This window comes from Homo sapiens, chromosome 15 (genome assembly GCF_000001405.40).
Source record: "Homo sapiens chromosome 15, GRCh38.p14 Primary Assembly".
NCBI classification, from domain to species: Eukaryota; Metazoa; Chordata; class Mammalia; order Primates; family Hominidae; genus Homo; species Homo sapiens.
The window spans coordinates 68,518,124-68,533,320 of NC_000015.10; the positions used below are offsets into that span (position 1 = coordinate 68,518,124).

Here is a 15,197-nt window from a genome sequence, read left to right on the forward strand (position 1 = left end):
AAAGCTTCTCCCATTTCTAGCTCTCAGCTGCCAGTGGATAGGCTCTGGCTTCCTGGAGCGAATCCTAAGCCTAGGCAGGAAAGCTTTCCAAGGCCTCCAAGATGTGGATTGAGGGCAGGCTCCTGCATCTGAGAGCCCTGTGCCTGAAATACCATCATGAGTGCTTTATGCTGTAGGATTCCAGGCACCATCCCTGGTAAAATGCAAATCGTCTTGAGGCAGCACATGAAAGGCGTGGGTGGCAGCGATGAGGACCGAGCTCTTCCTTTCCTGCTTCCCTCTCCTTTCTTCTTCCCTCCCCTGTCCTCATTCCCTGCCTTCTGTCTTGCCCACTCCCACCCCATTTTCTGTTCCCTGCCCATTTCCATTTTCAGCCCTTCTACCTTCTCCCTACTCTCTTCTCTCCTCCTCCCTTTGGCTCTTTTCCCCCTTGCTCCCTGGGAAGCAGCATCCCGTTTCTGCCTTCCAAGGTGAGTCCAGTCAGCAGCACTGCACCCTTGCTGCCAGACTTGGGGCCTTCTGGGCATAGCTTTGGCTGTGACTGGAGAAACAGGCTTCGGGCTGATCTCTACCCTAGGGTCCCCAGGGGCTTCCTGGGAACCCTGTGATGCCCTCCCTTGCTCCTTTCTGATGGAGAGGGGGTGGGGGGCTGCTGAAGGAAAGAGGGTCCTTTTCTTGACAGCCATAAACACTGATGAGCAAGACCCAGAGCAAGTCATCTGCTCTTGGTCCCTCAGGCCCAAGGACTCCAGACCCCTGGTTCAGCACCCTGGAAGACCTCTAGTTTATGAGGAGGAGCCTGGACCGGGTCTCTGCTCTCTAGACAGTGATTTCAGATAACGTGCCCCAGTTGCCTTGTTCCAGGCCCGAACCTGTACATACAGGAGCAAAGCAGAGTATGCACGGCCCAGGACTGCCTCACACTCAGGAGCCCCTGACCCAGATGCTCAGTCCTGCACATGTGCACAGGAGCCCTTGCGGGTGGCAAAACTGTTCAGCTGCAGCTGCTCCACACCCCAGGGCAAACACATCCTGTGGGCATCTCTGGGGAAACCCAAGCCCAGTAGCCTGCAGAAAATGTGGCCAGGACAGACAAGGGCTAAGGAGAAGACCTTCAGAAAGCGTACAAATGCACACAAGCACACATGTATAAGCATGTGTGGTTGGCTGAAGTCCCAGAAAAATGAAAAAGAGGAAATAGGGCAAAAGTCATATCTGAAAAGATAATGATCAAGAATTTACCAAAACTGTCAGATAGGTTAATTCTATATTATCATAGGTAATTCTATACTATTAATTCTATTTTAAACCCCAAAGCTCTAGGCAGTCTGATTTTAGAAGGTGCACTCATACCATTCTGCTATATAACCTGTATAAATTCATTAATATTTATCTTTTCATTACTCATATTGATGATTTTTTGCTCTCCCTCTTTGTTCGTTGCTTAGTTTTTCTAGAGGTTTATCAATTTCATTAGTCTTTCCAACAACCAACTTTTGATTTTGATGATTTTCCTTTGTTGTTTATACTCTATTTCATTAATATCTGCTCTTATTTCTATTATTTCCTTCTGACTATTTTCTTTGCTATTTGTATAGCTTGCCATTCTTTTTCTAATGTCTTAGGATAGATACTTACATAAGTGGCTTTCAGCGTTTCTTCTTTTCTAATACATGAAGTTCAGGCTATACATAGCTCTCTAAGCATAGCAAGCATAGCTTTAGCTGTATCTTGAGATAAATATTAGATAAATTGATTTCAGCCTTTCACTTTTTCTAATATAAGTATTTAAAGTCATACATTTTCCACTAAGCACAGCTTTAGTTCCATAAGTTTTGATATATAATATTTATCATAGCATTCAATCCAAACTATTTTCTCATTTCTGTTGTGATTTTTTAAATCTATGTATTATATGAAGCATGATGCTTTATTTTCAATCATCTAGTAATTTTCTTGTTATTCTTTCATTATCGATTCCTAGATTTAGTCCACTGTGGTCAAAAAACAAACTTTGAATCATTTCTGCCATTTGAAATGTGTTGAAATCTGCTTTATGGGCTAGCATGTGATCAATGTTGATAAATGTTCCATGTACACTTGAATGCGTTTTCTATGGATGTTAGGGACAGCATAGCTTCTGTGTATGCAATTAGGTGAATTTTCCTAGTTACATTGTTCAGATCTATATCCTTACAGATTTTTTTGTTGTTGCTTGTTCCATCAGTTACTGAAAGAGGTATATTATAGTCTCCCCTTAAAATAGTGATTTTTGTTTATTTCTCCTGTTAATTTTTGCTCCGTGTAATTTGAAGCTATGGCGTTAAATACATAAAAATTTGGAAAAGTTGTATCTTCCTGATGGACTAGCACTTTTATCATTATGAAATGTCTCTCTTAAATGCTTAGAAATGCTTCTTGCCTTAAACTCTACTTTCTCTTGGTTACAGTTCACAGGGTATATTTTTCTATCCGTTTACTTTCAGCTTCACTATGCCCTCATCTTAGGTTGAACTATAAGAAACTGCTATTTTTATAAGTCAAATATGGTTGACTATCGGCACATTAATGTGGTTCAGCTTAATATTTAAGGACCCTTGTAAACAGCATAGCATTTAAAAATCCAGTCTTAAAAGCTTTGGCCGGGTGCAGTAGCTCATGCTTGTAATCCCAGCACTTTGGGAGGCCGAGGCGGGTGGATCACCTGAGGTCAGGAGTTTGAGACTAGCCTGGCCAACATGGCAAAACCCCATCTCCACTGAAAAAAATACAAAAATTAGCCAGCCATGATGGCGTGCACCTGTAATCCCAGCTACTTGGGAGGCTGAAGCAGGAGAATCACTTGAACCTGGGAGGTGGAGGTTGAAGTGAGCCAAGATCATGCCACTGCACTCTAGCCTGGGTGACAGAGCAAGGCTCCATCTCAAAAAAAAAAAAGTTTTGTCTTTTAAATGAAGTATTTAATTCATTTACATTTAATTGGAGTATTTAGTTCTTTGGTTGATAAGTTTGGTTTTACATCTACCATCTTTACTATTTGTTTTCTATTTTTCCTAGACCTGTTTTATGTTCCCTTTTCTTGCATTCTTTTGAATTAATAAGCTATTTTTCATTATTCCATCTCCCCCATTAGCTTGTCAGTTTTACATTCTGTTACTATTATTTTAGAGATTGCCATAGATTACTTAACTTTTTAGAATCTAATATAAAGTAGTACTTTTGTAAATTCTGGACAGTGCCACAAGCTTGGTACATTTTAACTCATTCCCCTACTTTTTGTGTTATTATTGTCTACATTTTAGTTCTATATATATTTTGAATGTCACATTACATTATTTTCTTGTAAAGTCAATGTTTATTTAGATGTACCCACATATTCACCCTTTCCGTTGTTCTTCATTCCTTCTTACATTTCCTTTTTTGCCATCTGGGGTCATTTTACTCTTGCCTGTCTAGAAATAACTTTATTTCGCATACACTTTGAAAGTTTTTACACTGGCTATAGAATCCTAGATTGTCAATTATTTTTATTTTATAAATTTGAAGATATCATTCCATTGTCTTCTGGCTTTCATCTTTTTATTGTGCTTTTGAAGGTATGTGTCTTTTCACTATATACTTCTTTTCTTTTCTTTTTTGTTTTTTTTTTTCTTTCTCACTTTATCACCCAGGCTGGAGTGCAGCAGTGGCTCACTGCAGCCTCGACCTCCCAGGCTCAAGCAAGTAGATGGGTTAGGAATTTGAGACTAGCCTGGCCAACATGGCAAAACCCCGTCTCCAATGAAAAAAATACGAAAGCCTCTCAAGTAGATGAGACTACAGACCAGGCATGTGCCACCACACCCGGCTAATTTGTAAAATTTTTTGTAGAGACAAGGTCTCCCTATGTTGCCCAGGCTGGTCTTTAACTCCTGAACTCAAGCAATCCTCCCACCTCAGTCTCCCAAAGTGCTGGGATTGCAGGCGTGACCCACCATGCCTGGCCCCATGGACTCCTTTAAAGAATATTCTCTTTACCTGTAATTTTCAAAGATTCACAATGATGTTTCTAGATGTCATTTTCTTTCTTGCTTGGACTTTGTAGTACTCTTGAATCTCTAGCTTGATGTCTTGGCATTGTTGGAAAATTCTTAGTCATTATTTCCATATCTCTTTAAATACCACTTCTTCTCCATTCTTCTCTCTTTCTCGTCTGAGACTCCAATTGTGTTAATATTCAAACTCTCCACCATGTCTCATATATCTCTTATATGCTCTTTAAGCACAACTTAACTAATCCTCTTCAGCTGTGCCAATCTATTGTTGAGCCATCTATTGAATTCTTTTTCTTTCTTTCTTTTTTTTGAGATGGAGTCTCGCTCTGTCATCCAGGCTGGAGTGCAGTGGCACAGTCTCAGCTCACTGCAACCTCTGCCTCCTGGGTTCAAGCGATTCTCCTGCCTCAGCCTCCTGAGTAGCTGGGATTACAGGTGCGTGCCACCATGCCTGGCTAATTTTTGTATTTTTAGTAGAGACGGGGTTTCACCATGATGGTCAGACTGGTTTCATCAATTATATTCCTTTTCAGTTTTGGAATTTGCTTGATTTTTAAAAATAGATTGTTGTTCTCAAGCAAAATTCTTCATCTTGTTATATCTTTTTATGAGCATATTAATCACAGTTGTTTTAGTGTCCAATAACCCTAATATGTAAGTCACATATGGGTTTATTTTTCCTGCGTGTTTTTCTTGCCTGTTTTTTCTCTTGGTCTTGTAACTTGGAATACTTACTATTTTTTATTGAATACTGGAGAGTTTATATTAAAACATGTGGAGACTTTGGATGATAACATCTTCTTCTATAGAGGGTTCATTCTATTCTCTGGCATGCAGTTAGAGTAGGGGCTGTTTGTTTACCTCCATTCAATCAAGGGCTGAACTGACTTGAAGTTGGTTTTAGTCTTTACAAATTTGTTCTTTCTCTTGTCATTTTTCCTCCAAGAGTATAGCCATCCAGGTCCAGGGGTATTTCTTGGGTCGGCCACTCATTCTTAGAAAATCCTAAATTCTTTCTTTTTCTTTTCTTTCTTTTTTCTTTTTTCTTTTTGAGACAGGGTCTCACTCTGTCACTCAGGCTGGATGGAGTGGAATGGCATAATCATGGCTCACTGCAGCCTCAACCTCCCAGGCTCAATGTGATCCTCCCACCTCAGCTTCCTAAGTAGCTAGGACCACAGGCACACGACTCCATGCCTAACTAATTTCTTAATTTTTTGTAGAGATGGGGGTCTCCCTATGTCGCCCAGGCTGGTCTTGAACTCCTGGGCTTAAGCAATCCTCCCTCCTCAGCCTCCCAAAGTGCTGGGACTATAGGCATGAGCCACTGTACCCAGCCCTAAATTCCAATTTTTGTCTCCCAGAGACCATGAAAGGTTTCCCAACTACCTTTTGTTTAGTTTCTTAGCTTCTCACCCTGCACAGCCAAGAATTGACAAATACCTCAAGTGGAAAAATGCTAACTGTCAGGTTTAGTTTTCTGTGCCTCCATTGTCTCTTGGACCTTGGCTCCTCAAGTCAGCTGCCTTGGGAGCCTAGAACTGTCCTTTTTTGTTCCTCTGCTCTATCAGATAGCCTAAAGCTCTGCTGGCTTCTCTGCTTCTTTGTGGGTAAACCCTACCAGGCCCTGCAGCCTCCCATATCCCAAGGGGAAAAGTGATGACCAGATATTGAGATCTTTCAAAGAACTTCCTTTTTTTTCTCCAAAATCTTGGCCCCTTAAATAGTGGTTGCCTTGGGTGTCCTACAATTCTTCAAAGATATTTTTAAAAATATTTTTTTCCAAGGCTGGCCTCAGTGGCTCATGCTTACAATCCAAGCACTTTGGGAGGCAAAGGTGGGAGGATTGCTTGAGCCCAGGAGTTCAAGACCAGGCTGGGCAACATAGTGAGACCTCATTTTTATAAAAAATTAAAAAATTAGCTGAGTGTGGTGGTGCATGCTTGCAGTCCCAACTACTTGGGAGGCTGAGATGAGAGGACCGCTTGAGCCCAGGAGGTGGCAGTGAACCATAATTGCACCACTGCACTCCAGCCTGGGCAACAGAGCAAAACCCTGTCTCAAAAAAAAAGAAAAGAAAAAATTCCAGCTTTTTAAGTTTATTTCACTAGAAACTTTGGTCTGACACAAGTTACTTTATTGTAACCAGAAGTAAAAGTATGACTCTTGTAGCTTTTAAAATCTTGTTTTAATGATATTAATATTAATAAAAATCTATTGTTTTCCCTAATCCCTTTTTGCTGTTCTATGAGGAAATAACTAAATCATAAATTCTTTCATGCACTTTTTGCTGAGATAAGATGGGCTTATCTCCCCAATCATACTCTAATAAATGAACTTCACCATTTTATTGCATGTACCTTTTTAAAAGCGCCATGCTAAGCATTCCCTTCTTTGAACCCTGCCTTGATACTGTGGAGAAAGTAGGGATATTTTTTCCATTTTGCAAATGAAGACATTGAAGCTCATAAAAATTTCTTTAACCAAGAAGTTAAATAAATTCTTCTAAGGCCGGTAATTAGGTAGAGGAGGCCTAACTAAAATTTAGCTCTTCCAGCTCAAAGTCTAGTCACCATTTATGCTTCTTTTCTGTTGGAGGCTCCCTGAAGCCAGAACATTTTCCTGAACACTCCACGGGACTCACTAAAGGTCTAAATACACAGTAGATGCTCTGGTATTACTTGCCGAATTGATTTATATTATGTTGCAGCAGCTGATCAGAGGCAGAGGCTCCCAGCCTGAGCCTAGCCCTTAACTGTTGCATCAGATTTTATTTAAAAAGGAACAGAGAATAATAAATTAAATTCTGGTGCCAAAAGGAACCCACAGGAATTTATGAGAAATACAACATAAATTCACTAAAACTCCTACTCAGTATTTATTCCTCTCTGTCTTATATTTAGGCACATCTGGGTATAACTAAATCAGCCAAATCTGCCACTCTCAGACAGGCAGCTTAACCCTCCTCCCATTCCCCCTAAAAAACCCCAAAAACAAAAATAAAGCAAACTGACATCATATAACAGTTAATGGGGCTTATTATGGTCTAAAATGACAGGCATGTAAATTGAAGCCAGTTCTGAAATAAGTCACTCAAAATTCAGGGGGGACGGGGGACAGATACAAACTTCATTTTCAAAGTAAATTCTGAAGCATTTTGAAAAGAAAAGAAGAGCTTTCTGTGAAACATTGCTGGAAAAGTCAGGAAGGACTACAGATGTTTTGAAGCAAATTACTAGTGAGTCTGTCAGAATTTGGAAAAGGACAGTTTCCCCTTATTCTGGGTCATGGGAGGACTCAAGAAGGCTTTGTAAGTTACCCAGCTGAAGCTAACTCGATTCTTGACAGAGCCTTTTGCAGGGTTTAGTGAAAATATTTTTCATTTGTTAAAAAGTAGAAATGTAATTTCTGTTACTTGCTCACTCAATCAAAATCTCCAGACTCTTGTCTCAAATTCAGCCTAATTCATATCTATCCCCAGAACAGAAACCAAAACCCCCAAAATGGGTCAAAATTATCAACTTTGTTTACAAAATAAGCTGCTGGGCAGAGAGTCAAACTGGGCTTGCTGGATTTTTTTAAAATAATTTTAATCAACTTTATTTACTTTATTAAATTATAACGTGTTAAAATGCACCAACTTAAAGCTGACAGTGCGATGAGTTTTTACAAATGTATACATTCATGTACAACATCAAAATCAAGATATAAAACACTTCTTCTGCCCAAAAAGTTTGCATATGTTGTGTCCCAATCAATCACTCTTACAACCAGCTTAAGGCAACCACTGATCAGCTTTTTGTCACTGGAACACAGATTTGTTATTTCTGGAGTTTCTAGAGTTTCAAATGAATGAAGTCATAAGTATGTACTCTTTCACACCCGGCTTCTCTCATTCAGCGTAATTATTCTGAGACTTATCCATGTGGTTTCATGTATCAATAGTCATTTTTTATGGTTGAGCATGATTCCATTATATGCATGTACCACAATTTATTTATCCACTCACCAGTTTATGCATGTACATTTTGGTTGGTTTTCGTTTTTGGTTTTTATTAAGATGTTATGAACACTTACAGATGGGTCTTCATATAGACACGTTTTCATTTCTCTTGAGTAAATGCCTAGGGGTACAATTGCTGGGTCATATAATAAATGTATATTTAAGTTTATAAGAAATTTCTAAAATTTTCTGAAGGGGCTATACCATTTTAGACTGTCACCAGCAATGCTCCACATCCTTCCAATTCTTGGATTGTCAGCTTTTAAATACTAACTATTCTAATGGGTGTGTAGTCATACCTCATTGTGGTTTAGGCTTTCATTTCCAGGATGACTAATGATGCTGAGCATCTTTTCACATGCTTATTGGCCATTGGTGCATCTTCTTTTGGGAACCATCTTTTTTAATCTATTGAGCATTTTTCAAATTTTTTGTTATTATTGAGTTCTAAGTGTTCTTTATAAATTCAGGATATAATGTTCACTTTACATATAGCTTTTGTCAGCTATATGAATATTTCCTCCCAGCCTGTGGCTTGTCTTTTCCTTTACTGAAGATGTTTTTCAAAGAGCAGAAGTTTTAAATGTTGAAAAAGATTTCTTTATTTACTTTATTAAAATATAGTGTCTTTGTGTATGTGTACCTAGTAAAAGGCACCAACTTAAAGTTCTGTTTTCGACAGAATCATGGTCCCCCAAAATTCCTATGTTGAAGCTCTAACCTCCAGTGTGACTGTGTTTGAAGACAGGGTCTTGAAGGTGATGATCAAGATTAAATGAGGTCATAGGGTAGGGCCCTCATACAATAGGATTGATTTCCTTACAAAAAGAGGAAGAGACACCAGAGAGGTGTGTGCAGAGAGAAAAGGCCGTGGGAGGACACAGTGAGAAGGCATCTGTTTGAAAACCAAAGACAGAGGCCTCAGTAGAAACCAAACCTGCCAGCCCCTTGATCTTGGACTTAACAGCCCCCAACAGGTACTTGTTATGTAAGTTACCCAGTCTGTGGTATTCTATTATGGCAGCCCTAACAAATTAATAGAAAAACCAAGTTATGAATTTTTTCTTTTGTGGTTTTTTAATTTTTCTTTCCCAGCTAGGCAATCCTTGCTTACCCCAAAGTTGAAAAGATTTTCTTCTATTTTTTTTTCCTATCAGTTTAACAGTTTTATCTTCCACCTTTAGATCTTTTTCCTGTTTTGGGTTCATTTTTATGTGAGGTTTATTTTTTCCTCATATGAATATCTAATTATTCCAGTGCAATTTGTTGGAAGACTCTCTTTTCCTTTATTGAAATATGTTAACAATCAATTGACCATGTATCTGTGAGTCTATTTTTGATTCTTTATTCTATTCCATTGATCTATGTGACTAATTTGATGCCAGTGCCACACTCTCTTCATTACTGTAGCTTTGTAATAAGTTCGAAAATCAGGTAATATAAGTCCTCCAACTTTGTTTTTCTTTTTCAAAATTGTTGCAGATTTTCTAAATCTTTTGCATATAAATTTTACACTAAGCTTGACAATTACTTTTAAAAGCCTCGGAAATTTTATCAGTCAATATGAAGTGGATTAACATTTTAGCAATACTCCAATCCATGAACATATTATAGCTCTCCCTTTATTTAGTTCTTTTAAAATTTCTCTCAGCAGTATTTTGTAGTTTTCAAAGTATAAATCTTACACATATTTTGTCAAATTTATCCCAAAGTGTTTCCTATTAATTGATGCTACTGTAAATGGTATTTTGTAAATTTTTATTTCTAGCTATTGTTGTTGGTAGAGAAAAACAGCTGATCTTTACTTATTAGCCTTGCATCCTGTGATCTTACTAAAGTCACCAAGTCACTTAGGAGTTCTCAAACCTTTAAAAATGTATGTTCTTTAGAACTTTCTATGTACACAATTATGTTGTCTGCTAATGAAGACAGTTTATTTCTTCCTTTCCATTCAGATGTCTTTTATTTCTTTTTCTTGCCTATTTCACTGGATAGGATCTTTAGGACAATGTTGAATAGAAGTAATAAAAGCAGATATTTTGTCTTGTTTCTGATGTTGGAAGGAAACCATATAGTCTTTAACCTTAAACTGATTCTCCTTATCAGGTCATACGTTTTTTATATATTCTCTTTATCAAGTTGAGGAAGTTTTCTTCTATTCCTAGTTTATTAGTAATTTTAATGATAAATTACCACTGAGTTTTTTCAAGTACTTTCTCTGCATCTATTGAGATGGATATATGGTTTTTATCCTTCATTCTATTAATGTGGTGAATTACAATGATTAACTTTTGGATATCAAATCAATCTTGTTTTCCTGGGATAAGTCCTGCTTTTGCATGATATATTATCCCTTAAAATATTGTTAATTCTATTTGCTTATGTTTTGTAAGGATTTATCACCATGAGTGATATTGATCTATAGTTTTCTTCCCTTTTTTGGTAATATCTGTATGTAGTTTTATTTGTATTGGGACATGATGGTCTCATAATGAGTTGGAATATGTTCCCTCCTCTTTTTTCTGAGTGTTTTTTTTTTTTTTTTGAATTGGTATTTCTTTCTTAAGTGTTTGTTGGAATTCACTAGTGAGTTCATCTGGGTCTGGACTATTTTGTGTTTTGGGGATAGGAAAGGGGCTTTTAAATTACGAATTCAATTTCTTCAAGGAATATGTGGTGCATTTAAGTTTCCAGTTTCAGTTTCAATTCCAATTTTGCTTAAATTTTAGCAGAAACAAAACTGAAAAAGCAGACAAAATGGCTTAATTAAACGTTTATAAATTCATGCATTTATTTCTTTTAAAAGCTAAATGGCTAAAGCAAACCTAAAAGGTGGAAACGGTGCAGACTAATCCTAAATTAGTCTTTCTCTTTGCCTCAACAACTACTAGATATCTTCTGATCTCTGACACTCCAATGTTTCCTGGACAAACAAAGGGAGCGAAGTACGTGGGTTGTTCAATAGGAAGTGGCTTGAAGGTGGTTTGGCAGGCTGGGGTTTTATTCCCTGACTCTCTGTGGGTACATTCTTACTGTGGCTCGTCAGGAGATAGTATTTTTTATCATATTTAATATGTTGGGAAGCATAAATCTATTTACTGCTTTTTGCTCTCTATATCCTTATCAATTTAGGAGTAAGTAGTCAGAGCATTTTATTTGCTTATGTTCTTTTCAAGTCATATCAGTCAACACAGGTCACAATAGGTAACACAAACAACTCTAAAGATGAGATATCACAACGTTCAAGAAATGTATTCATAACATGTATATGGCTATTTAGGTTTTCTATCTTTTTTAAGTTGTACCCTTTATCAATTGGCCATTTCATCTAAGTTGTTGATTTTTTTGACATAAAGTCATTCATTATATTCCCTTACTGTGTTGTTATTATCTCTAGCATCTCTAGTTATGCCTCCTCTTTCATTCATTATGTTAGCACTCATGCTCACTCTCTCTTTTTCTCAGATAAATCTTGTCGCAAATTTTTCAATTTATTGATCTTTTTAAAAGTCAGCTTTTGGTTTTGTTGAGTTTCTCAATTGTATGTAATTTGCTCTTCTGTTTCTAAAGATGAAAGCTTAGAATATTGATAAAAACCTTTTTCCATTCTAATATGAGCATTTAAAGACATATATTTCTCATTAATCACCACCATATCTATATGTCACAAATTTTGTTATGTAGAATTTTCATTTTCATTTAGTTGAAATATCTTTAAATCTCCCTGTGATTTACTCTTTGAACTAAAGGTTACTTAGAAGTGAAGTGTTTAATTTCCATACATTCTAGGATTTTTGATATTTTTCTGTTGTTGATTTGTGTTTTAATTCCATTTTGGTCAGAAAATATGCTTTGTTTCAATCCTTAAAAATATGCTGAGACGGCCGGGCACAGTGGCTCATGCCTGTAATCCCCGCACTTTGGGAGGCCGAGGCGGGTGGATCACGAGGTCAGGAGTTTGAGACCATCCTGGCTAAAACGGTGAAACCCCGTCTCTACTGAAAAATACAAAAAATTAGTTGGGCATGGTGGCAGGCGCCTGTAGTCCCAGCTACGCGGGAGGCTGAGGCAGGAGAATGGTGTGAAACCGGGAGGCGGAGCTTGCAGTGAGCCAAGATGGCGCCACCGCACTCCAACCTGGGTGACAGAGTGAGACTCTGTCTCAAAAATAATAATAATAATAATATGTATATATATGTATGCTGAAACTTTTTTATGGCACAGAAAATGACCTTTCTTAATACATGCTCCATGTATACTTGAAAATAATATGTATTCTTTTGGTGGAGGTGAGTAGATAATCAAGAAATGGCAATTAGATCAAATTGGTGATATTGCTCAAGTCTTCTTCATCTTTGTTGATTTACCTACTACTTGTACTATCAGTAATTGAGAGGGGTATGGAAATCTCCAACAATAATTATGAATGTCTGTCCTTGCAGTTATGTTAGTTTTTCTTCATCTCTCTTGAAGTTATATTAGTATGAGTTTACATATTGAGGATTTTTGTGTCTTCTTGATAAATTGTGTGCTTTATTATAATTAAATATTTCTCTTATGTCTAGTGATATTCTTTTTTCTAAACACTACTTCTTCTGATACTAATGTAGTCAAACCAGTTTTCTTATGATTATTATTTTCATGGTGTATCTGAGTTCCTCCTTTTACTTAGAAAATATGTATGCCTTTACATTTGAGGTGGATTTCTTATAGATAGCATATAGTTGAATCTGCCTCTTTATTGTTTAGACCATTTACAGTTAATGTAATTTTTGGTATAAATCTGCCATTCTATTGTTTGTTTCTTGTTTGTCTCATCTACTTTTTGCTCATTCTTTTTTGTTTTATTTTCAGGGGTTGCTCTGTGGCTTACAATATATATCTTTAGCTCATCATAGTCCAACTTTAAATAAAATTACATACTTTTACATACAATCCATGACCCTTACAACACTATACTCTCATTTCCCCCACCCATCCTTTATGCTATTATTGTCATACACTTATTCAATTGTCTTCTAAAGAACTTTCAAAATAAGGCCTGGTGTGCTGGCTCACGCCTATAATCCCAGCACTTTGGGAGGCCGAGGTGGGTGGATCACCTGAGGTCAGGAGTCTGAGACCAGCCTGGCCAACCTGGTGAAACCTCATCTCAACTAAAAATACAAAAATACAAAAAACAAAAAACAAGCCGAGTGCGGTGATGTGTGCCTGTAATCCCAGCTACTCAGGAGGCTGAGGCAGGAGAATCACTTGAACCCAGGAGATGGAAGTTGCAGTGAGCCGAGATCATGCCGCTGCACTCCAGCCTGGGCACAAGAGGGAAACTGTATCTCAAAAAAGGAAGGAAGGAAGGAAGGAAGGAAGGAAGGAAGGAAGGAAGGAAGGAAGGAAGGAAAGAAAGAGAAAGAAAGAGAAAGAAAGAGAAAGAAAGAAGGAAGGAAGGAAGGGAAGGAGAGAGAGAGAAAGAAAGAAGGAAAGAAAGAAAGAAAGAGGGAAACTCTATCTCAAAAAAGGAAAGAAAGAAAGAACTTTCAAAATAAGAAAAAATATTTTATATTTACCAACATATTTACTACTTTTAATGCTCTCTATTGTTTTAAGTAAATCCAAGTTTCCATCTAGTATCATTTTACTTCTGCCTAAAGGATTTTCTTTAGCTTTTCTCAGAGTGTAGGTCTACCAGGATTGAATTTTAGCAGCTTTGTTTTTGTCAAAGAAAAAAAAAAGTATTTAGTTTGTCTTTGTTTTTGAAGGATATTTTTACTGAATATAGAATTCTAGGTTGACAGGATTTTTTTTCTTTTAGCACCTTAAAAATGTCTTTCATTGTATTCTAATATGCATAGTTTATGATAAAAAGTCTGTGGTATTTTAATCTATTTTCCTCTGACATAGTGTCTTTTTCTCTCCAACTGCTTTTAAAAGTTTCATTACTAATTTTCAACAATTTTATCATGATGTACCTTTGGGGTTTTTTGTTTTTGTTTTGTTCTGTTTGGGACTCATTCAGGTTCTTGGATCTGTGGGTTTACATTATTCATCAAATTTGGAAAATTTTCTCCAATATTTCTTAAATATTTTTCTATCTTTTTTTCTTTCTTCTGGTACTTTAGCTACGTATGTATTAGACTGTTTGGTGCTGCCCCATAAGACATTGTGGCTATGCTTATTTATTGTTTAGCCTTTTGCATTTCTGTTTTGGTGTCAGTGGTTTCTGTTGCCGTGTCTCCAACTTCATGTTTTCTTCTCATCTGTTCTTAACCCCATCCAGTGAAATTTTCATTTCACATATTGTATTTTTTTGTCTCTAGTAATTTTAGGTTCTTTTTTATATCTTCTATTTTTCCTAATTGTGTTCCTATTTTTATTTAAGTCCTTGAACATATTGAGCAGATTTACAATAGCATTTTAAAGACCTTGTTTGCTAATCTTGTCATCTCTGTCATTTCTGTTTCTGCTTCTACTGACTGATTTTTCTACTAGTTTTGAGTCACATTATCCTGATTCTTGGCATGTCTAGTAATTTTTAATTAAACTTTAGCTTAATTGTGAATATTACGCTGTTCAGTATTTTGTTGCCTTTGTGTAAAGCATGTTGGGAAGGAGGGTAAATTGCCAAAGGATTAACTTCCTTCTTTCAAGTCTTGTTTAAATCTTTATTAGGGCAGCTCTGGTAAATGCCCTGGGCAATCAATAAGAACTTTCCACTCTGCCTAGTTGGAGCCTAAACATCTCCTTACCTGTATGAACTCTGGGAACTATTCAACTTTAAAATCCACCATTGTTCTTTGCCTGAATTCATGAAGTTTCAGCCTCCACATGGATGGCTTATAATTCAGCAAAGATCCAATGAAATCCTTTTGCACTTTTTAGAACTCTTTTTCTTCATGGTGCCTGAACATTAATCTCTGTCTTCTCAACTCAGTAAAACCTTCATGCTCTACTTGATATTCTTCCCTGCACCACAATCCAGAATGTGCCTCTAGACACAAATCCCCAGAGATCATTTGGCTTATCTTTTTGTTTCCCTTCCCCCTGAGATCATACTCCATGGTGCCTGTTAACCAATATCTGAAAAATTATTTAATATATTTCAATCTGTTTGCTAGTTTACTATGATGGAAAGGTAAGTGTGGATTCTGTTGCTGTATTATAAC

The 15,197-nt window shown here is 37.0% G+C and overlaps 1 protein-coding gene across 1 annotated transcript in view, besides 2 other annotated features; it reads left to right on the plus strand.

Annotated features, from left to right (window-relative positions):
• The first annotated feature begins 249 nt into the window (after window positions 1-249).
• The window catches only part of CORO2B (coronin 2B), a 209,434-nt gene continuing 194,486 nt past the window's right edge, over window positions 250-15,197 (plus strand). Inside the window, exon 1 of the mRNA NM_001324014.1 lies at window positions 250-470. The gene's annotated coding sequence lies outside the window, so the exon portion shown is untranslated. The remainder of the gene's footprint in view (window positions 471-15,197) is intronic.
• Window positions 461-962: an enhancer, noted in NCBI's record as "H3K4me1 hESC enhancer chr15:68810923-68811424 (GRCh37/hg19 assembly coordinates)". NCBI's record gives its function as "activates a minimal SCP1, AML or CMV promoter by ChIP-STARR-seq in naive H9 embryonic stem cells {active_cell/tissue: H9 hESC(naive)}" and the evidence as "EXISTENCE:reporter gene assay evidence [ECO:0000049][PMID:30033119]".
• Window positions 963-1,462: an enhancer, noted in NCBI's record as "H3K4me1 hESC enhancer chr15:68811425-68811924 (GRCh37/hg19 assembly coordinates)". NCBI's record gives its function as "activates a minimal SCP1, AML or CMV promoter by ChIP-STARR-seq in naive H9 embryonic stem cells {active_cell/tissue: H9 hESC(naive)}" and the evidence as "EXISTENCE:reporter gene assay evidence [ECO:0000049][PMID:30033119]".